The following is a 23,684-nucleotide window of genomic DNA, read 5'->3' as shown; positions in this document are numbered from 1 at the left end:
TAGTTCAACAGATTTCATGCAAATGGTAGGTGAAACATGTCAAGCATCTTTTGTCCCCATTCGAAAGATAACAGAAATATGTCCCAGCAGAGTCAGTGCGCTGAGTCTTAGCTGATGGCCGGCCGAACGCTCCCCAGTGGCGTCTGTCTTCACTTATTCTGTCTTGGACATCTTCTGCCTCCTGGGTGCGCCCCCGACATTGTAAGGCTATGGAAGGAGGGCTAGGGCTGGAAAGGAAGATGCAAACATTGAGCACCTACTGTGTGCCTGGCATACTTCTGCTTTGTGATCTCTAACAGAATACATGATTGCACCTCACAGCCCCTCTGAGCCTGTGCGTATTCTCATCTCCAAGTCTACTTGGTGGAACCTAGGTAGCTTGACTAAAATCACTCTATTGTGGCAGTGACCCTGGAGTTGAACTGTGTGTTATCTGATTTCTAAACTCGTGACTGTTCCCACACATCTTGACCTCCGGTTGTGAATATAAACAGAGACATTTAGATGAGCATGTCTAATGGTCATATTAACTCTAGAATTTGGAGACTCTTGAGTTTCTTTCTTTTTTCTTTTTTTTTGGAGACAGAGTCTCGCTCTGTCACCCAGGCTGGAGTGCAGTGGTGTGATCTCGGCTCACTGCAACCTCCGCCTCCCAGGTTCAAGCAATTCTCCCACCTCAGCCTCCCAAGTAGCTGGGATTACAGGTGTGCACCACCATGCCCAGCTAATTTTTGTATTTTTAATAGAGACAGGGTTTCACCGTGTTGGCCAGGATGGTCTTGAACTCCTGACCTCAGGTGATCCACCTGCCTTGGCCTCCCGGGATTACAAGCATGAGCCACCGCACCTGGCTTGAGTTTATTTCTGATCTAAATCTTTTCTACATTAGCCAATTCCTCCTAGCATTTCACTGTTCATGAGCTTGTTGAAGTCATTATTGTCTGAAATACCATGTTTAGGTTTCACTTTGTGGAGGGTGGGGAGGGTGAGGTAATATTTTAAAAACTGCAAAATTAGGGATCTCATTTTATTTTTAGATGTTGGTCCACAGGTGAAACGTATCAGGCTGGTTCTTTGAACACCCTCAGGAAAGTTAAAGAGATGGATGCTTCTCTTTAGGAACCGGGAACCTCTCTGGTTAGACAGAGGACTCTTCTTTCACTGTTTTTGTTTTGTGGCACAAACGGCCTGGGATGTGGATGCCTTGGGTCTGATGCAAGATACCCTGGAGGCTTCCCTGGCCTGTCCTTCTCCTGCCCATGTCGCGTAAACATTGGCATGGCAGGGACAGATGGCCACTCCGGGAACTCCTTGGATGTCACATTTGGTTGCCTGGGTTGGGGGTCGGGTGGTTGCAGCCAGTCTCCACTGTGGGGAGGAGAGGCTGACTGGGAAATACTCCCATGGCAGTGGGTAAACACAAGCTCACCTCCGGAAAGGCTGGGCGCCCTGGTACATGTGCAGGCTGGGGCGGTAATGGAGTCAGATGCACATAAGTGTGTTTAGCTTGGGAAGGAGCCAGTCTGCTCAAAGCACACAGCCTTTTCTCTCTGCTCCGAACTGATGCTCAGCAGAGTTCGGTTTGCTTATGGGGATGGGAATGAACCATGTGGGGGCTGTGAAGGGAGGGATGGGCTGCAGATAACTACTTTCAGAGCTAGAAAAAAATTCTTTCCAGAGGCCTGGGTTAGCTTTACTGGAGGCGCAGGTGAGGGTATCTGAAATCCCCGGAGAGTCAAGATAGCGCAGTTAGGTGCCCTTATCAGTGGGATTTTTTTGCTGATCAAACAGCATCAATATGTGTAATGAGGACTGAAGCATTGATGAAGAACAGCCGAGTGCAGTGTTTCCTGCATAAAATCCCATCGATTCCGGAGGCTGAGCAGGGGGAGAATCCCTTGAGCCAAGGACTTTGAGGCTGCAGTGAGTCAGAACCACGCCATTGCACTCAAGCCTGGGCAACAGAGTGAGATCCCAAGTCAAAAAAAAAAAAAGGCGGGGAGGTGGGGATAATAAAGAAACAGCACCCAGGTGGGGAGGGCTGGAGGCAGCAGAATCCCTCTTCAAAGAAAGCACAAGAGTTGACATTAAGTGAAAATAAAATGGATTTTTCGTGGTTTCAGCTTTAGAATGGAACACTAGGGGCTGTTGCAATTGCCTGCATGCAAACCAAGCGTGGGGTTGAATCGAAGTGGAAAAGCCTATAGCCATAAGCGTTGATTGGAAGCGTTTCCGATTTTCACCTCTACGTAGTAACTGTTGCTATTTATCTTTCTAATGTATTTGCAGAAGTCTCAACAAGCCAAGGTAAGGTAATGTATTCAGGTTAGGAGAGTGACATCTAGTTACTATGCTTCATATTAATTTTTTGGGGGGGAGGGTGGTATGGTTAGCTCATTTATTCATTCTTTCAACAAATCATTTGTTGGGTAGCTATGAATATCATCTTTGGGATACAGTGTAGAATATCATCTTTGGGGTACAGCGTAGCTTACAGTGTAGAAGGGAAGAAAAGATATACCATCAAGAATTCATAAGTGTTCAGGCCAGGCGTGATGGCCCATGCCCATAGTCCCAGCACTTTGGGAGGCTGAAGTGGGAAGATCACTTGAGCCTAGAGATTCGAGACCAGCCTGGGCAATAAAGTGAGGGCTCATCTTTACAAGAAAATAAAAAACTTAGCCAGGGTGTGGTGGTGCATGTCTGTGGTCCCAGCTACGCAGGAAGCTGAGGCGGGAGGATTGCTTGAGCCCAGAAGGTTGAGGCTGCAGTGAGCCATGTTTGCGCCACTGCACTCCGGCCTGGGAGACGGAGCCAGACCCTGTCGCAAAAGAAAAAACAAAAAGAGAGTTCATAGAAGGGTTCAAATGAGAGGTATAAACTAGAAGTTTAGAAGGGTTCAAATGAGAGGTATAAACTAGAAGTTTGATAAATTTGAAGAGTCAGGACATTTAATCTTCAAAGTAATCCAATGAGCTGTTAATATTCCAGTTTTACTGCTGAAAAAAACGGAGTTGGAGAGAAGTAAAGTGCCTGGACTAGGCTCAGCAGCCCCCAGGCGGACAAACCACACCTACCCAGATCCTCAGCCCTCGGGGCAGCTGAGAAACCCTAGCCTCTGTGGTCCTGATTTCCCTGTGTTGGTAGCTCAAGTAGTGAACAGTGCATCTACAATCTTTAATTCATTTATTTATTTAAAATAAAAATTGCTTTTGAGAGATGGGGTCTTGCCATGTTGCCCAGGCTGGCCTTGAAATCCTGACCTCAAGCAATCCTCCTGCCTCAGCCTCCTGAGTGGCTGGGACTGCAGTCATACATCACCATGCCTGGTTTATTTAGTTCTTTTTAAGAGTTGGGACAGAAAACCAATGTGGACTCTTAGTGTTTCTGCTTCACCTTTCTCAATATTTAGAGGAATCTAGTTTGGGCAGATGTCTGATGAGCCATTTAGTCATGAAGAGCTCTAACCAACAGACTTTTTTTTTTTTTGTAGATCATTGGAGGGTGATTTTAATGATCACATACATAGTGTGAATGTGAGTGTGGGTGTTTTATCGCGAGTTCCCTGGTGGTGGTTTGAGCATTTTCTCTGGGTGGTTCCAGTGGCAGTGTTGATACTGCTAGAAATGGTTCCTGCTCAGGGCACAGTGGTTTTTCTCTTTTGGTGAAAAAAAAAAAAGTTTTTTTGAGTGAGGTGAGTGAGGGTATTTCTGGTAAGCTCAGTCATGTATGTTTAAACAAAATGATTATCATTATTTGCTAGTTAGTATTTCATTAATATGAAATATGAGAAGGTGAGCACTGGGCTAGAAAGAGGTCAGGAGACCAAAGTTCTTATCCTGGGCTCTTCCTGACTCTTCAACCTTAGTTGAGCCTGTTGCTCAGGGCTGTGAGTTGCATCCTTAGGTTCCTTGAGTGTATAGAAATTTCTCTCTGTATAGTTGGCAAAGCCTGTAATATGGATATTATGTACCAAGACTCAACTTTTAGCTTGATAGTGCTGCATTATTTATTTACACATTATTTATTTGTTTCTTTCAGTCTCAGATGCCGTGGCTGGATTTTATATTTTTGGTGTTGTATTTTAAAATACCGTGTTAACTTGTGGTTGTTTCCTTTTCTTTCTTTCCTTTTTACTCCAGGAGTAGGGGGTTTCATGTAGGATGAAAATGAAAACTAAAGAAAAAATAGGATCTGGAAGTAATTTTGAGAGCAGAAAAATTAAATAAAATGGGAAAATATACCATTTTGTTACTAGCCAGGTGAAGAGAACACAGGAGCATGTACGTGCTTTTTCTCAGTAATTGGATATGTTAGACACGGATTATGTTTTCGCTGGGACCTTGTAGTTAAAAGAAAGCAAAAAGCTGATCTGAATGTTCAATATTTCCCTTTTCTCAAGAGCACATGAAGTTGGTATTGAAATGTGAGTTGCCTGCCTCTTATTTCCATCGTTTGAAATCAGACTGAAATCCTGCATGTGGGACCCTCATTCTGTGACCTCTGTCTGTGTATCCACCAGGCTTCCTTGCCAGCCCTCTTTCTGACTCACAAATGGCAGTGGGTGTGAGTGCCCAGGAATACTTAGAGTGGTAAATACAGGATTTGGGAAATTTATCTGCAGAATGTCAGCCCTCAGTAGGAAAGTAGTGCTGTCCAATGGAAGGCCTGGTCAAATGCCTTTTGGTTGGATGTTTCAAGCTGGTGTGGCATAGCCGGAGATTCCCAGTCCTCAGGAGTGTGGTAGGGTAGGCTCTGTCCTACCAGGAATGCATTTGGATTTTAGAGATAGTTGAGAAGTAGTTTCTTTTGGAATAACATTTAAGACACGTTTGGGTTCTGGGACATCCTCCTTCCTCATTTTTCCCCTGGGAGTCATTGTGGCTGGTTGGGCCTATGGGCCTGCAGGCTGTGTTTGATGTGGTGAGCTCCCCTTTTCCAAAGGATGAACCTATCTGCCTTGAGATGCCTACAGTTTTGCAACTTCAGTTTAATAATTATATATGGATTTTGAGACATAATTGGTGGGATGGATGCTTACTTTCATAATTCATTTCTACTCCTGTGTCCAGAAATTTGTAGGCATCTTTGTTTTACAGTTTGTCATCATCTTCGTTGACTACTTGGTTGAATCTTTGAAATGCATTCAACCCAGCATTTTTGTTTTTTTTAGCACTGGCTCTGTATGTCACAACAGTGGATCCCTCAGAGAACACGTGGGCTGGTAGTACCAGTTGGGAAAACATAGCCTAAGTATAATGGAATCTACAGCGAAGTTCCACGGACATGTTTATTTAATAGGGACAAAAGAAAATGTTCAAATCACATTTTACCTTTCCGAGTTTATAAATCCATCTGAAGTGCTTGAAAAAAAATCATAGTATTAGAAATGGATGCATGTGTATATAAAACTAACACTAGAATTCTTTGCCAAATTTAACTTCTCAAAAGTGTTCTTAGAAAGAGGGACTTTCTTGGAGAGTATGAAGTCTATTTTGTCTCTAACTCACTAAGGTCATTCTTTGCATTTCTCTTTCGGTGTGTCTCCCCACACCAAACTGCTATTAAAAACATACAGAGAACCTTGGGAGGCTGAGGCAGGTAGATCACTTGAGGTCAGGAGTTCGAGACCAGCCTGGCCAACATGGTGAAACCCCAACTCCACAAAAATACAAAAATTAGCCAGGCGTGGTGGCGCATGCCTGTAATCCCAGCTACTTGGGAGGCTAAGGCATGAGAATCACTTGAGCCTGGGATGGGGAGGTTGCAGTGAGCTGAGATTGCACCACTGTACTCCAGCCTGGGCTACAGAGGGAAACTCTGTCCCCCAAAAAAGAAAAACAAAAACAAACAAAAAATACAAAGAACCATGCAAAAAACCAAAAACAACTCTGCACACGGATGTTTATGGCAGGTTTATTGGAAACTTGGAAACGACCAAGATGCCCTTCAGTAAGTGAATGTATAAACTGTGGTACATCCAGATAATGGAATATTATTCAGCACTGAAAAGAAATGAGCTAGTCATGAAAGAACATGGAAGAACCATCAAGGTGGTTGCCAGGGGCTAGGGAGGAGAGAGGGATGAACAGGCAGGGCACACAGGACTGGTGCTCCCAGGGTGGTGAAACTACTCTGTATGAGACTGTGATGGTAGATACATGTCATTATACATTCATCCAAAGCCATGGAATCTACAGCTCCAAGACTGAACCCTAATGTGAACTATGGACTTTGGGTAATAATGATGTGTCAATATATGTTTATTGATTGCAACAAACAGACCATTCTGTTGAAAGATCTTGGTAGTCGGGAGGCTGTGCGTGTGGGGCAGGAGGTATATGGGAAATCTCTGTGCTTTCTGCGTAATTTTGCTGTGAACCTTAAACTGCTCTATAAAATGGTATTATGAAACAGCAACAACATTCAAACCAAATTGAGGAGACACAGCACTGCATTCTACTCATGACATCTAGTAAAGTGTCTTTTGACCTATAGTACTTCTTGAAGTTCTTTGCAGCCTGTCGGCTTGGGCAGCAGTCACTGGGCAGCAGGGGAGAATCCCTCATCAAGCAGGAGGCTCTGATACTCTAAGAATGGGATTTTCCCTGGCGGCTTCATAGCTGTGAAAGCACTGACTTCATGTTCCTGTTTTCTTCCTTCTGGCCATGTGCTGCGCTGTGGACACTAAGGATGCATTTTCTGGTGAGCTGATTCATATGGTAGATGCCGTGTTAGCCACACTTTCCTGCATCAAGGGTGGTTACGGACAGCAGGGATTTGGTCGTATTTGAATGTACTGTGACCTGGGGACCAGAAATGCTCAAATCCTGCCTCAGTCTTATCACCCTTCCCACAAGGAGTCGTCAGGACTGTGTGCACAGGCACCTTAGCACGAAAGTGAGCAGTTACGAGGATTTTTCTGGGAGCCGACCTCAGCGTTTCTTCTTGCGGGTTGTCTTTGACTTTTGAAGTCAGCATCTGTGTGTTCACTGCGTTCACGTGCTCAGTTGCAGGTAGTAAGGAGACAATAGGGCAGAAGGCTGGGAAGCATCCTTACCCTCAGGGAACTGACATTCTGGATACAGACAATATCAAGAGATGTTGTCCCTGCGTATTTGTGGGGGGTTCGTTCCAGGACATCCCCTCCCTGCCCTGAGGACACCAAAATCCATAGATGCTTAATCTCTTTTGGAAAATGGCATAGCATTTGCATATAATTTAGGCACATCCTTCCACACATTTGAAATCATCTCCGGATACCTAAAACAAAATAAATGCTAGGTAATAGTTGTTATACTGTATTGTTTAGGGAATGATGACAAGAAAAAATGTCTGGGCTGGGTATGGTAGCTCACACCTGTAATTCCAGCACTTTGGGAGGCCAAGGCAGGAATATCACTTGAGCCTGGGAGTTCGAGACCAGTCTGAGCAACATAGCGAGACCCCATCTCTACAAAAAATAGAAAAATTCACCACAGGTTATCACTCATAAGTGGGAGCTGATCAATGAGAACACATGGACACAGGGAGGGGAGCATCACACACCTGGGCCTGTCGGGGGGTGGGGGTCAAGGGGAGGGAGAGCATTAGGACAAATACCTAATGCATGCGGGCCTTAAAACCTAGATGACGGGTTGATCGGTGCAGCAAACCACCATGGCACATGTATACCTGTGTAACCAACCTGCACGTTCTGCACATGTATCCCAGAACTTAGAGCAAAATAAAAAAAAAAAATAATAATAAGCCAGTCGTGGTGCCGTGTGCCTGTGTTCCCAGCTACTCAGGAGGCTGAGGTGGGAGGATCATGTGAGCCTAGGAAGCTGAGGCTGCAGTGAGCCGTGATTGTGCTGCTGCTTTCCAGCCTGGGCGACAGAGTGACACCTTGTCTCAAAAAATAAAATAAAATATGTACGTGTTAAGTACAGGCACAATCATTTCTTGATTTATTTTGAATATTTTTGATCTACGGTTGGTTGAGTCCACAGATATGGAAGCCATGGATACTGAACCCGTGGATAGGGAATGGCGACTGTAGTTACAACATGTACCATGTGGGAAGGTGATTGTTACAGTGGAGGCCCTTGAAGCAAGGAAGTGTTGGGTGTTTGAGCTTTTGAACATAGGGGAGTTAGGAAGGCCCCACTGCATGGGTGACATTGGAGCCAAGATGGCAAGGGGTTGAGGAAGCGAGCCCTGTGCTGACAGAGGGAGCATCGAGGCAGAGGGCAGAGGGCTGGGCTGGGCATGTTGGAAGTTTGGGTGGAAAGAGCAAAGTGGGAGAGCCAAGGAGATGAAGACAGAGGAGGGTCGTCAGGGCAGGGTCTGCGGGACTGCTGGTGAGATGGGAAGCCTTTGAGGGTTGTGGATAGGACTAGGGAGACACGATCTGGTTTAGGTCCATAGGTTCTCCCTGACAGCTGCGTTGGGAGGAGACTACGCACCATTTCATGTGGACCATGGTTCTCAGTAAGCCTGTGTTTGGGCATCGATTAGACTTTCTTATTGCTCACACAGTCTGGATCCTACTGGTGCAGGGTGATGGTGGGGTGGTCTTTATTTTTGCAATTTCTCTAGGCACAAATCTTTTTTCTTCTTTTCTGTTTTCTTTTCTTTCCTTTTTTTTTTTTTTTTTTTGAGATGGCGGCGTTTCACTCTGTTGCCCAGGCTGGAGTGCAGTGGCACATCTCAGCTCACTGCAACCTCTGCCTCTCCTGGGTTCAAGCGATTCTCATGCCTCAGCCTCCCAAGTAGCTGGGATCACAGGTGTGCATCACCACACCAGGCTAATTTTTTCTATTTTTAGTAGAGATGGGTTTTGCTATGTTGGCCAGATTGGTCTCGAACTCCTGACCTCAAATGATCTGCCCACCTCAGCCTCCCAAAGTGTTGAGATTACAGGCATGAGCCACTGCGCCCAGCCCACAGATCTCTTTCTTTATAGAAGATGAAGAAAGGGACTTTTTATCCTATAAGGGTACTTAGCTGATGAATTCTAGAATGAGTTCAAGCGTGGCTAAAAAATGCTTGAAGATAATTTCGGGTTCTCTGCAGCCCAGTGTTTCATTTACCTTCCAAACAGAAAGCTCCTCCTCCCTGCACATGCTCTGTGTTGCCCCCTTGCCTTGCCTGTGAGCAGATTCGACCGTCTTTTCCATTGATCACTTCCCTTTTTGGCTCAGGCTGCTCCTCTGGGGTTTTAGTTCTGAAATAAGTGAACCATTTGTCATATCTGCTTCCTTCTCACTGGAGCCGCATGTTAAATCGCGGCCGGAACACATCTGTCAGATCTCTGAGCTTTTCAAAAATGCAAACCTGAACGTTTTGGCATATGACCCTGTTAGCCTGTTTTAAGTGGCGTGTGGTAAACTTGCCCACAGATGTTAGTATACCCGTCTACTTTGAACAAAATAATAATAACTTTCACATCTGGTCCTCTTTTCATCTAGGGATCTTAAAACCCCAAGTGCACATTAGTTAAACCTCACATCACTGGAAGGTAGGGAAGGGATGGAGGGCAATCGCTTTAATCACCACTGCAAGAAACTTAGGGGGATTGCCCCTGGGTAACAAATGCCTTTCATCTAGCATCTTAAATACTTCCCGAGTATTACCTGGTGGGAAGTGTATGATCACGCACATCTGCAGGGCGTGGGGAATACCCTGAGATACTAGGGACTTGCCCTATCTTTTTGTTGTTGTCATTGCAGAAGCCTTCTTTCTTTCCAGTTCATGGGCTTTTACCACTTAATATGGATTATTTGGAGTCTGATGGTGTGCACTGAAGGATGGTATTGTTAACTGGTAAAGCTGTTTGGTTTTCTTTCTATCTTTTTAGTTTGGGATACAGATAGGCAGGAAGTTCCTTTGAAAATTTCAGCTGCCTTCCAAGCTGGTCACTGGGGATTCTCCATGAATGCCATAGTACTCCCCTTCCCTCTAAGAGTCTCTTCCCAGAAAGTCTCTCAGGTGAGCTGGGACAACAGGAAGACAGGAGAGGACCATAACTTTGATCAGAGGACAGAGTGGCAGCTGCTCAACTCCATTCCTAGAGAATGGGGCATTCTATAAGAAAAATGGAACAGAACAAAACCAAACAAAATCAGGACATGTCATTAATAGGTGAGGAATTCAGTGGCTCACCTGCGGGAGGGGAGTTGGGGTCTCGCTGGGGTCAGGGTGTTCAGATGCACAGCAGTTTTGCTCCAGGGGGACTCTGCCTGACAGTGGAAAAGCAGAGGCCTCAGCAGGGTCTGGAGGGTCTGGAGGGCGTGAGAAACACGGTTGGTTTGCAAAGGGATGCTCTTCTTCAATTTTAAATGTAATGTCTTTAGCTCCATTTTAAACAATTTCTAAATGCCAGTGTGTAGTATATCTACTGCTTTTATTCGCAGTTGCATGTGAAAGTAAACAGTAAAGGGGAAAAATATTGAAAAGTGTGGGTTCTTCAATGCCCCCTCCGTGTGACACCTCTTAACTCACTGATGGCTGGTTTCTTTCCAGCTTTTTGACTTAAAAGGTAGAAATGTATCTATATTTCCCCAGATACATGATGAATATTTATGTTATTTTAGATGAACCTTCTTCTGTATACATTCTTTTTTTTTTTTTTTGAGTCAGAGTCTTGCTCTGTCGCCCAGGCTGGAGTGCAGTGGTGCCATCTTGGCTCACTGCAACCTCTGCATCCCGGGTTCAAGTGTTTCTCATGCCTCAGCTTCCCGAGTAGCTGGGATTACAGGTGAGCGCCACTACACCTGGCTAATTATTTTATTTTTAGTAAAGACAGGGTTTTGCCGTGTTGGCCAGGCTGGTCTCGAACTCCTGACCTCAAGTGATCCACCTGCCTCGGCATCCCAAAGTGCTGGGATTATAGGCATGAGCCACTGCACCTGGCCCCTTCTGAGTAAATTCTAAAAACATACTCTATGAGAATGTATCTTTCCATGATTCTTCTCTAGTAGTATGAAACTAAAAACTAATTTTTTTTTTTTTTTGAGACAGGGCCTCCCTCTGTCACCCAGGCTAGAGTGCAGTGGCATGATTGATCACAGCTTACCGCACCTCCACCTCCTAGGCTCAAGTGGTCTTCCTACCTCTGCCTCCTGAGTAGGTGGGACTACGGCTGCACACCACCATTCCTGGCTAATTTTTGTATTTTTTTTTTGTAGAGATGGGGTCTTGCCATGTTGTCCAGGCTGGTCTCGAACTCCTGGGCTCAAGTGATCTGCCTGCCTCGGCCTCCCAAAGTGCTGGGATTACAGGTGTGAGCCACCGTGCCTGGCCTGTAAAAAAATACTTCTGTTCTTTCCTTTGGTTATTACAGTGTTGGTGTACTCATTGTTTACCCTTGTGGTCCTACTGAGGGATGCTGGTATGGAGTAGGTATTCACCATTTCCCTGTACTTTGGGGGCAGTACAGGGAAACATTACCAAAATATTTCTTAAACATTTTTGAAATACTTAAAGAAATGATTTTGTTGTTTGGAAACCAAATCAAGCCAAAATCTTTGTCTCCAGCCTGAATGTCACATATTCTAGTTGGGCAGTTAATCTCTTTGCTTTTGGCAATGTTAGGGGCCCTGTGGATGGAATCCTAGAATTCAGAGGTAGGCTAGAGGCAGCTGTCTGAAAGGTTACAGGCAGAAAAGATGGCTGAGAGCAGCACTGTGGGAATAAAAATCACTAGCTCCATCACTTACAGGCTGTGTGGCCTTGGATAAGTTGCCTGAGTTCTCTGTGCTTTGGATTCTTCATTTATAAATGGGGACAAGTACTTTCCTGATAGAATTGTCAGAAAATTAAGAAACTTCTTCAGCGTCTGACTTACAGTAGGTCCTCTACAAGTGTCAATTACTATTACTGTTGTTATCACCATCATGGACAGCATCCCTCTGCCCATAAGCAGGCACCAAATAAAATTTTTTTTTTGAGACAGAGTTTCTCTCCGTCGCCCAGGCTGGAGTGCAGTGGTGCCATCTAAGCTCACTGCAACCTCCGCCTCCCAGGTTCAAGTGATTCTCCTTTACAGTATCCACCCACAGTCTGTCCACTGAATTGAGTTATTGTTGAATGTTGGGTCCCAAACGCAATGAATTAAACTTTTCCACGCACGCAGTCATTGTTCTGTTTTTAAGGGGGTCAAGCGGCCATTACTGTACCCACCATTACAGTATCATTCAGAATAGTTTCACTGCCCTAAAATCCTCTGTGCTCCACCAATTCTTCCCTTTTCTTGCTAATTCCAGGAAGTCACTGATTTTTTTTTTTTTTTTTGAGACAGGGTCTTGCTCCGTTGCCCAGGCTGGAATGAAGTGGTGTGATCATAGCTCACTGTAGCCTTGAACTCCTGGGTTCCAGTGATCCTCCCACCTCAGCCACCTGAGTAGCTGGGACTACAAGCACACACCACCACACCCAGCTAATTTTTAAATTTTTGTGTGTTTCTTTTTGGAGACAGAGTCCCACTCTGTCACCCAGACTGGAGTGCAATGGCGCGATCCCGGCTCACTGCAACCTCTGCCTCCCGGGCTCTAGCGATTCTCCTGCCTTAGCCTCCCAAGTAGCTGGGATTACAGGCCCGCACCACCATACCCAGCTAATTTTTTTATTTTTAGTAGAGACGGGGTTTTGTCATGTTGGCCAGGCTGGTCTCAAACTCCTGACCTCAGGTGATCCACCCGCCTCGGCCTCCCAAAGTGCTGGGGTTACAGGCATGAGCCATCACACCCAGCCTAATTTTTAAATTTTTTATAGAGATGGTGCCAGGTTGGTCTTGAACTCCAGGGCTGAAGTGATTCGCCCACGTTGGCCTCCCAAAGTGGCTGGGATTACAGGCATGAGCCACTGCGCCTGGCCTACCACTGATGTCTCTAAATAGTTTTGTTTTTTCTGGAACGTCATATACTTGGAATCCTACAATGTGTAGTCTTTTCAGACTGGTTTAGCACCACTTTTTTTATGGCTTCATGCACTTTCTTTCTTTTTTTTTTTTTTGAATCAAAGTCTCGCTCTGTTGCCCAGGCTGGAGTACAGTGGCGTGATCTTGGCTCACTGCAAGCTCCGCCTCCCGGGTTCAAGCAATTCTCCTGCCTCAGCCTCCCGAGTAGCTGGGACTACAGGCGGGCACCACCATGACCTGCTAATTTTTGTATTTTTAGTAGAGACAGGGTTTCACCATGTTGGCCAGGATGGTCTCGATCTCTTGACCTCATGATCCACATGCCTCAGCCTCCCAAAATGCTGGGATTACAGGCGTGAGCCACTGCGCCCGGCCTCTCATCTTTCTTTACTTTGGCTGTGGAGCCCTGAAGTGCACCTACAGCGTTCTACCATGGACTCCACCAAGGAACCGAGTTCCCTGAGGGGCGCTTTGTCTCACCTGCGGGAGTTCTGTGGGAAAACCATGAAGTGGGCCCCGCCTGGCTGAAGTGACCAGTGGTTGCTTGACCCCCTTGTGGAAATAGAAATACAATTGCATGTGTAGATAGGTTTAAAATGTCATTGCGTTTGGGACCTAATATTCAGCCATAACTCAATTCAGTGGACAGACTGTGGGTTAGCTGTTTCGGGTAGGGCCACAGCCCCTGCTTCACAGTGTGGCGGAGGTGACAGAAAAGTCAATGCATCGTGACACAGAGACAGGCAGTGGCAAAAGTAGAAACACCCACAGGAGGGGCCAGGTTGTTGAGGCCAAGAGACTGGGTTCAGGATTCAGTGTGGGTTTGAAGCCAGGGCTGTCACAGGCGAGCAGGGTGCCCAGGGGGCAAGTTGCTGTCATTCTCCAGGCTTCAGTTCCTTCCCCTATAAGATGGCAGATGATGGCACCCCCCCCCACCCATAGAGGTATCGTGAGTAGGACATGAATTTACGTGTGTCATGACTTAGAGGAGTGCTCTCCACAGGTACACCTTTGTGAATACGAGCTAGAATTGTCCTCCCCATCATTATGAGGCAGATGCAACACACAGAGTGAGAGGGAAGACTGTGGTCCAGGAGGAGAAGAAGGAGCAAGGAGACTTGGGAGAAGCTGGACTCCAAGCTAGTATTTTCTTTCCTTTTTGCATATGATATTCTTAGATAATCATGCATATTCATTATAGGAACACTAGAATATATGGCTAAGCAAAAAGATGGCAATCAAAACTATCAAAGGTATTCACTATTCCTATTTAGATGATTTCTTTCTAGATTTTTATTTCTTTCTCTGCTGAGTTGGTTTTTTTGTTTTTTTGTTTGTTTGTTTGTTTTGATATGGAGTCTCATGCAGGTGGCACGATCTTGGCTCACTGCCACTTCTGCCTCCCAAGTTCAAGTGATTCTTGTGCCTCAGCCTCCCGAGTAGCTGGGATTACAGGTGCCCACCACCGTACCTGGCTAATTTTTGTATTTTTAGTAGAGATGGGGTTTCACCATTTTGGCCAGGCTGGTCTTGAACTCCTGACCTCAGGTGATCTGTCCACCTCCCAAAGTGCTGGGATTACAGGTGTGAGCCACCGTGCCCGGCCTGAGATGGTTTTTGAAGGCTGTCAAGAAGGGTTAAAGTTTCAATCAGTTTGGCTTCTTATGTTATAAGGAGCAATTTTTACTTGCTTTTAAAATTCTGTCCTGAACTATTTTTAAAACACAGAAGAGGCTGGGTGTGGTGGCTCACGCCTGTAATCCCAACACTTTGGGAGGCCGAGGCAGGTGGATCACCTGAGGTCAGGAGTTTGAGACCAGCTGGCCAACATGACAAAACCCCATCTCTACTAAAAATACAATATTAGCTGGGTATGGTGGCACGTGCCTATAATCCCAGCTACCCTGGAGGCTGAGGAAGGAGAATCGCTTGAGCCCAGGAGGCGGAGGTTGCAGTGAGCCAAGATCGCGCCATTGCACTCCAGCCTGGGCAACAAGAGCGAAACTCCGTCTCAAAAACAAACAAACAAACAAACAAACAAACAAACAGTAGAGCATGGGAAATAACGTACTCTGAGAAGGCAGTGTGGACCGGCCTCAGATTATGTGGAGGAGCCTGAGTCCGAGGCAGAGGTGCAGGCCTGCCGATGCTGAATGGCTTCTTCGGCCAGTCCCTGCACTGAGCACATAGGGAATTTCCTCTACCTGTCCTATAACTCTCAGGTCATCCCCCCCCGCCCCCTTCTTTCTGTGGCCCAGGCTGGAGCGCGGTAGCACAATCATAGCTCACTGTAGCCTCAAACTCCTGGACTCAGGTGATCCTCTTGCCTCAGCCTCCCAAGTAGCTGGGACAACAGGTGCACACCACTGTACCCAGATCTCTTTTTTTTTTTTGAGACAGAGTCACTCTGTCACCCAGGCTGGAGTGCAATGGTGTGATCTCAGCTCACTGCAGCCTCCACCTCCCAGGTTCAAGCAATTTTGCAGCCTCAGCCTCTCAAGTAGCTGGGATTACAGGTGTGTGCCACCACGCTGGCTAATTATTGTGTTTTTAGTGGAGATGGGTTTCACCATGTTGGCCAGGCTGGTCTCAAACTTGTGGCATCAAGTGATCCGCCTGCTTCGGCCTCCCAAAGTGCTGGGATTACAGGCGTGAGCCGCCGCGCCCAGCCCAACTCTCCTTTTTTTCAATTCCACATTTAGCGAGGCTCTGAGAGGTAGAGGGAGTCACCTACCATTGCTCACTGGTCAGTGTGCAGCTGGGGTTGACCTAAGCTTCTGATACCACATACCCTGAATGCCATTTTCTGGCTCATTCCTGCCTTGGAGACCTCAGACTCAACCATCATTGACCAAAGCCATTATTTTTTGTAATGTTGTGGATTTTTTTTGACTAATGATATTCAGAAGTGTAAAGTGAATTTTTTGCATTTGATAAAATATCTATAATAAAATTTACCACTGTAGCCATTTTTAAGTGAACAATTGCACAACCATTACCATGATCTAATTCTAGAACTTTTTCATCATCCCAAACAGAATATGTACCCAGCAAGCAATAGCTCCCATTTCTCATCCTCCACCTCCCTGCCCCGGTAACCTCCATTCTACTTTCTGTTTATGAATTTGCCTATTCCAGGTACCTCGTCTAAGTGGAATCATACATCATACTTAGCATCGTGTTTTTAAGGTTCATTCATGTTGTAGTATGTGTCAGAATTTCATTCCTGTTTTGGGTTGATGATATATATATGTATCTTTTATATATATGTTTATATACATGTAAGCATAGGTGTATATATACATATGTTTTGTTTATTCCTCTGTAAATGAGCATTTGGGTTGTTTCAGTTTTTTGGCTATTGTGAATAATGCTGCTATAAACAGTGATGAAACAACTCAGCAACAACAACAAAACATGTAATTTAAAAAATAAGCATAGGACTTGGATAGACACTTCTCCAAAGAAAATATACACATAGCCAAATTAGCACATGAAAAGATGCTCAATATCTGTAGGGGATTGCAAATCAAAACCATGGTGAGGTACCACCTTATGCTCACTAGAAAGGTTATAGTAATTTTTTTTTTTTTTTTTTTTTTTGAGATAGAGTCTCACTCTGTCACCCAGGCTGGAGTGTGGTGGTGCGATCTCGGCTCACTGCAAGCTCCGCCTCCCGGGTTCATGCCATTCTCCTGCCTCAGCCTCCCGAGTAGCTGGGACCACAGGTGCCCGCCACCATGCCCGACTACTTTTTTTTGTATTTTTAGTACAGACGGGGTTTCACTGTGTTAGCCAGAATGGTCTCGATCTCCTGACCTCATGATCCACCCGTCTTGGCCTCCCAAAGTGCTGGGATTACAGGTATGAGCCACCGTGCCCGGCCAGGTTATAGTAATTTTTTTAATGGAAAATAATAAAGTATTGGAAGGAATGTGGAGAAATTCGAACCCTTGTGCATTGTTGGTGGGAACATAAAATAGCACAGCTACTGTGAAAAAGAATTTACTGCTTCCTCCAAATGTTAAACATAGAATTACTATGTGACCCCACAATTCCACTTCCACGTATATGCCCAAAAGAATTGAAAACGGGGACTCAACTATGCACTTGTACACCAGTTGAGCAGCTTTGGAACATGTATTTTTTTTTTTATCAGTTCACCCTTCTCAAGGCTGGTTAGTCACTGTCTGGGTGTTTAGCTTGTTGCACAGCAGAAAGTAAAGCTCCAGAAACAAAAGGCCTGGCAACCTTTATGCTGTACTTCATGATGGGAAGCCAAATGAGTAGAAACTGAGGCCCAATTGTGATGTGCTGGAGACACAAAAAAATTTGATTCAAAACTCAGAGGTTTAGCTGGGCATGGTGGTATAGGCCTGTAATTGTAGCCAGCTGGGAGGCTGGAGCAGGAGGGTCTCAGGAGTGTAGGAGTTCGAGGTTGCAGTGAGCTGTGATTGCGCTACTGCACTCCAGCCTGAGGGACAGAGCGAGACCCTGTCTTTGTATAAAACAACAAAAACAAAAACCACCAACTCGAAGGGCATCTTGTAATGTTGTGTTATGGAGGAAGCATCCTGAATGAGAAACCAGGCTGAATCAGATTTTATCTTTCTAGTAACATTATCAAGATAAAGACAAAATAACATCAGGAAGATTTATATGCAGAACTCTTTCCATTTTTTCCCCTCCCAGACTCAAAGCCAAAAAGAACTATTTCCAAAGTAGTAAATTTTGTTGGCTTTACCATGATAAAATTGACAGATTTTGCTAATCAGATGCATAAATAGAAAATCTAAGTAGGAACCAGTAGGTTTTGGGTTCTTGGATGCTCTATATACAGAGTAGAGTCTCTTGACTAACTACCAAATTGTTGATAATTCATCCTGGATTTTATTAGGCTGTGGGAATGTCTTGGGACACTCACCCTTGATATTTGTTATTTTGGAAATTCACTTTGAATGACAGAATTTTATCCTGTGGCTGGGCACGGTGGCTCACGCCTGTAATCCCAGCACTTTGGGAGGCTGAGGCAGGCAGATCACTTGAGCTCAGGAGTTCGAAACCAGCGTGGCCAACATGGTGAAACCCTTTCTCCTGTCTCTATGAAAAATACAAAACATAGCCGGGTGTGGTGGCATGTGCCTGTGGTCCCAGCTACTCAGGAACCTTGGGTGGGAGAATCACTTGAGCCTGGGAGGCAGAAGTTGCAGTGAGCTGAGATGGTGCCACTGCATTCCCACCTGGGTGACAGACTGAGACCGTCTCAAAAAATAAAAAAGAATTTGATCCTCTTTCTGCAAAGACCTGGGAGCTGTACCCAAATTACTGTTTAACTCACTCTGCAAAGCTGCTGTTACTCTGTGATTGTGCAGTAACCTAAAGAAAAATATCTTCATTTTGAAATCCTGTTGAGCTGGGTCATTAGTTATGTTTTGATTTCTAGGAACTTCTCTGCTGTGTTGGGGCTGCCTGAGAATATGAATAAGACCTATAGTTGTCTCATCAAGTAGGCACATGTACTTTTGTCCTAAAATTGGAAAGTCACAGATGAGTTAAGCAGTGGTGGGGTTTTTCTTGTTTGTTTGTTTTTTGGGGTTTTTTTTGAGGCAGAGTCTCACTCTGTTGCCCAGGTTGGAATGTAGTGGTGTGATGTCGGCTCACTACACCCTCTGCCTCCTGGGTTCTAGGGATTCTTCTGCCTCAGCTTCCCAAGTAGCTGGGACTATAAGTGCGTGCTGCCATGCCTGGCTGATTTTCGTGTTTATAGTAGAGACTGGGTTTCACTGTGTTGGCCAGGGTAGTCTCAAACTCTTGACCTCAGGTCATCCACCCACTTCGGCCTCCCAAAGTGCTGGGATTACAGGCGTGAGCCGCCGTGCCCGACCAAGCAGTGTTTTATGTTTGTTTGGTTTTTGTTTTTTGTTTTTTTGAGATGGAGTTTCACTCTTGTTACCCAGGCTGGAGTACAATGGCGCGATCTTGGCTCACCACAACCTCCGCCTCCCGAGTTCAAGCAATTCTCCTCCTCAGCCTCCCGCGTAGCTGGGATGACAAGCATGTGCCACCACGCCCGGCTAATTTTGTATTTTTAGTAGAGACGGTGTTTTTCCATGTTGGTCAGGCTGGTCTCAAACTCCTGACCTCAGGTGATCCACCCTCTTCGGCCTCCCAAAGTGCTGGGAGTACAGGCTTGAGCCACCATGCCCGGCCAAGCAGTGTTTTAAGTGTCGTCAATCCACTTGAAATTGAGAAGATGGAGAGGACAGAGCTTACGGGGATTTGAGAAGCTCTTTTTCCTGCTTAATTTCTGGACCAACTGAGACAAACAAAGGGTTCAGCAAGTGGAGACCAAAAGCTCAGCTTTATTATCGGTAAATATAGGATTTGAGGTTGTGACTCAGAGGTACAGCAACGTAGGTTTCCTGGACATCCCTGGCCATTTGAGTTAGGTAGACTTACCCACCTAGGCAGACCTGGCACTGGATAACAGGCCTCCCTCCCTGGGGGGCAGGATCTTTCCAGTTACCTCACGATCCACGGTGGTCCAACCTTGACTTCCCCAGAGGCCTGGATTCCTAAGCAAGTGAAATAGAAGGGTTTTATCTAGGCATGTGTGGGTCATTCTCCCAAACTCTCTCCTCTGTTGACATCAATGACTCACCTTCCCAGAGCCATCCTGAGGGCTCAGAGAGGCCAGGAAGTTTGCTGTAGTTGCGAATCCTTGATGTGGAAGGAAACAAGAGGCATAGGCATGCCCATCACACAATCCTATCTTGGCTCAGAACACCTTAGATCCGATAAGGGTCAAACCACACAGTCCTGATTACTTCTTAGCGACAGAGCTTATTGTTTCCCAGCCATAGGGTGAGGAGAAGAATGCACTGTTAGTGTTTTAATGGTCTTTCAAGTGGGAATGCAGTTTTTGATTTAGCCCTCACAAAATACTCTCCTTTATGAAAAATGCTCATGCCTTTTCATCTGAGGGTGGCTACATGTCACCATTGTCTCAATCGGTATAAACCTTTCCTTGAAATATTTTGGCTGTTAATTGGGAACAAGCAGTGATAAAACGATACGATTTTTGGTTTAAACTCATCCTCTTTCAGAGCATTCTGGCAGCTTCTCTGTGGGAGGCAGGAAACAGCTAGGTGACAATCTTCAATTTTGTGGATTTCAGAATTGTAGTGTAATTATACTAGAACACTGCAGAGGACATCAGGGTACCTCTCATTTAACTTCCTCCTTTTCCAGTTTAACCCAGAATCTTAATACAGTGGATCACCCTTGGTAGGCACTCAATATGTAGAAGAAATGAGTGAAGGTTATTGACAGTCGGCCGTATTTTTGTGACACAATTTCAGGGTCATCATGGTTGATGATCTCCTTTCATCGCAGGTTTATTTTTTGAGACCGAGTCTCGCTCTGTCTCCCAGACTGGAGTGCAGTGGCGCGATCTCGGCTCACTGCAACGTCCGCCTCCCAGGTTCAAGTGATTCTCCTGCCTCAGCCTCCTGAATAGCTGGGATTACAGGCGTGCACCACCACACCCGCCTTTTTGTATTTTTAGTAGAGACGGGGTTTCACCCTGTTGGCCAGGATGGCCTCAATCTCCTGACCTCATGATCCGCCTGCCTCGGCCTCCCAAAGTGCTGGGATTACAGTAGTGAGCCACTGCGCCTGTCCTTTTTTTTTTTTTTTTTTTTGAGATGGAGTTTTGCTCTTGTTGCCCAGGCTGGAGGAGTGCAGGGGCGCTATGTTGGCTCACTTACAACCTCCGCCTCCCTGGTTCAAGTGATTCTCCTGCCTCAGTCTCCCAAGTAGTTGGGATTACAGGTATGCGCCACCACACCCGGCTACTTTTTTTTTTTGAGAGGGAGTCTTGCTCTGTTGCCCAGGCTAGAGTGCGGTGGCGTGATCTTGGCTCACTGCAAGCTCCGCCTCCCGGGTTCACGCCATTCTCCTGCCTCAGCCTCCCGAGTAGCTGGGACTACAGGCGCCCGCCACCATGCCTGGATAATTTTTTTGTATTTTTAGTAGAGAAGGGGTTTCACCGTGTTAGCCAGGATGGTCTCGATCTCCTGACCTCGTGATCTGCCCGCTTCGGCCTCCCAAAGTGCTGGGATTACAGGCGTGAGCCACTGCGCCCGGCCATGCGCAGCTACTTTTTTGTATTTAGTAGAGATGGAGTTTCACCATGTTGGTCAGTCTGGTCTCCAACTCTTGACTTCAGGTGATCCATCCGCCATGGCCTTCCAAAGTGCTGGGATTACAGTGAGCCACCACGCCCAGCCTCATTGCATGTTGATTTTATTTATATTTAACCAAAATGTGGTTTTGGTGCGAGGTTTGGCGACTCTCACCAAAAAATTAAAGTAGTTAAATAAATAAATACGTGAAACTTGGATGGACCCCACCTTTATAAAGCTGGTAGAAGCCATGGAACTGCTCTTTATACAAATGCAGGTACGTCCCTGCACATAATTTTTACACTCAATTCCAGAAGGTTCAGATACCTTTGAAAGTCCTCCAGGGATCGTGTGCTAAGCATCCTTGTCCTGGGTCCATTCCCAGGGCCTATGCAGAAGCGCTGAAATTAGCAAGTCTGTGTGACCCCTACCCTTTACAAGCATGCACGTTTTAAAAATACAAATAGCTCCGTGTGCAAAATTGTAATTTCCGTCTGGGTAGCGCTTTTCAACTGAGGGTTGAAACCTTTTGGGAGTTTATAAAATAATTTTAGTGGTTTGCAGCCAATATTTCTAAAAAAATATATTGGAATAGGATAAAAAGTAAACCAAGCTATTATGTGTGTGTACTGGGGTTGAGAAATAAAAATATGGGTCCCTGTTTAAGAAAAACTGATGTATGTGCAGCTTGTTTTACTATATATTTAGGGCAGTGGGAGCAATTTAAAGAAATATTTGCTTTCTTTTCATTAAATGCTTTGACTATGTTGGCCCTTTTTCTTCTTCATAGGTAGGGTCAAAGAGTTTAGTGGGCTTACTAACATTTTATATAATATATCCTACTGCCAATCATCATTTATCCACAGTTATTCTCAGGATACCTCTAATATCAGTGAGCTTAAATCTGCTGAATGTTCTGATTTTCTGTGATAGTAAAACTTAAAAAAAATATATCCTTGCCAAGGGTCAGTGTGATTGGCCACTAGTTAACCATTTCATGTGGGAGACTTCTCCTCCTTGGCCTCACTTTTCTCATTTGTAAGTGAGAAATGGTCCTGATAATAATGATATTTTTCTCTCTGGATTGTTGGGAAGACTGAATGAGCTTTTATATGTAAAATTCATAGCGTAATTCTTCCATAAACATTGTTCTTCTTAGTAGCAGTTGTACTGTTTGTCTACCATGCAGGAATCACATCTTACACTCCCATTAGGATTTCTGAGAATCTGTTAAGTTGTCCATTCTGACTGCATTAACTAAGTGAATGGGCACTCTGGCCTTGTTTCAAAAGCATCTGTTTAATCTTTTTTAAAAAAGTGTGCTGAGCACAGTGGCTCATGCCTGTAATCCCAGCACTTTGGGAGGCCGAGGCGGACAGATTACTTGAGGTCAGGAGTTTGAGATCAGCCTGGCCAACATGGTGAAACCGCGTCTCTACTGAAAGTACAAAAAATTAGCTGGGTGTGGAGGTGCATGCTTGCAAATCCCAGTTACTTGGGAGGCTGAGGCAGGAGAATCGGTTGAACCTGGGAGGTGGAGGTTGCGGTGAGCCAAGATTGCGCCACTGGATGGCAGCCTGAGCAACAGAGCAAGACTGTCTCAAAAAAAATAAAGTGTGCTCTATTGAACTCCTGAATTTTTTAATAAATTATTTTGCCCCCACATATCATGAATGACATTAAAAGAACAATCTTTCTTTTCTCTATATTGTGAACCAACAGTCTGTTCACCTACAAATGTTGCAAATGGTGATTATTTGGAACCCAGATGGGAGCCTCCCAGAAGACTCAGAATAACATTGAAACTCAACTGCAAGGATTTGTTATTAAAGTAAATGTAGTGGAAAAAAAACACACAAAGAGCTAAACAATTTTCCTGGTGTACTCCTCCTCACCCCCATCCCCCTCCGGAAGTACTTTTTGTAGGTATCATGTTGATTTTTAAGGAAAGAAACATACTGAATTTCCAGGATTATTAAGTATACTAAAAGCAAATGTCTGCTGCAAATAAATGTATTCACATTCTTAGAAAAGAAAATTACGCATGAAAACTTGGCTTCTGCACCACTCTGAACAATTTGCAAGAAGAATGTTTGGGCTTGTCGTATCTTATTAAATAATATATTGGACACACTATGCACAGAAACATTCTTTTTGCACCAGGCAGGTGAGTAGCTGCCGTAATTTAAGGGTTGTGTGTGATGTGGGCTGGAGAAGATTGCTGAGCTATGTCTCAGAGGGCTTGACCTTTGTTAAAAGGATGCCCCCTGGCACACATTTCTGTATCATAACCTAACCTCTTTCATTCGCCTTTTTTCCTATTTTCATATTCTTTTTTCTTTTCTTCCCGTCATTCTGTCTGGCTATAAAAACCTTCCCTTAGGGAGAATGCAGTTACTGTATCTAGCAGAATCCTCCGGGAAAGGAGCATGAACTTAAGAGCAAGTGGACCTGCGTTGGAATTTCTACTCAGCTACTTTCGAGAACTTGGGCCATATAGTTGACCTCTCCAAGCCTCAGTTTGCTCATTGTAAAGTGACCCTATTATTATGGATGGATTCAGTGAAAACACCTTCATACGGATAAGGCTCAGATTT

General features: G+C 45.1%; 1 protein-coding gene across 12 annotated transcripts in view, besides 1 other annotated feature; it reads left to right on the top strand.

The window, feature by feature from the left end:
* TIAM1 (TIAM Rac1 associated GEF 1) overlaps positions 1-23,684 on the top strand; it is a 440,670-nt gene that overhangs the window by 222,804 nt on the left and 194,182 nt on the right. The gene's annotated exons all lie outside the window — the stretch shown is intronic.
* Positions 6,684-6,884: a silencer, noted in NCBI's record as "peak4402 fragment used in MPRA reporter construct". NCBI's record gives its function as "represses an SCP1 promoter by STARR-seq MPRAs in K562 erythroleukemia cells {active_cell/tissue: K562}" and the evidence as "EXISTENCE:reporter gene assay evidence [ECO:0000049][PMID:32103011]".

This window comes from Homo sapiens, chromosome 21 (assembly GCF_000001405.40).
Source record: "Homo sapiens chromosome 21, GRCh38.p14 Primary Assembly".
NCBI lineage: Eukaryota > Metazoa > Chordata > Mammalia > Primates > Hominidae > Homo > Homo sapiens.
The sequence above is the reverse complement of the archived record's forward strand: the minus strand, read 5'-3'. Positions and strand labels throughout refer to the sequence as shown.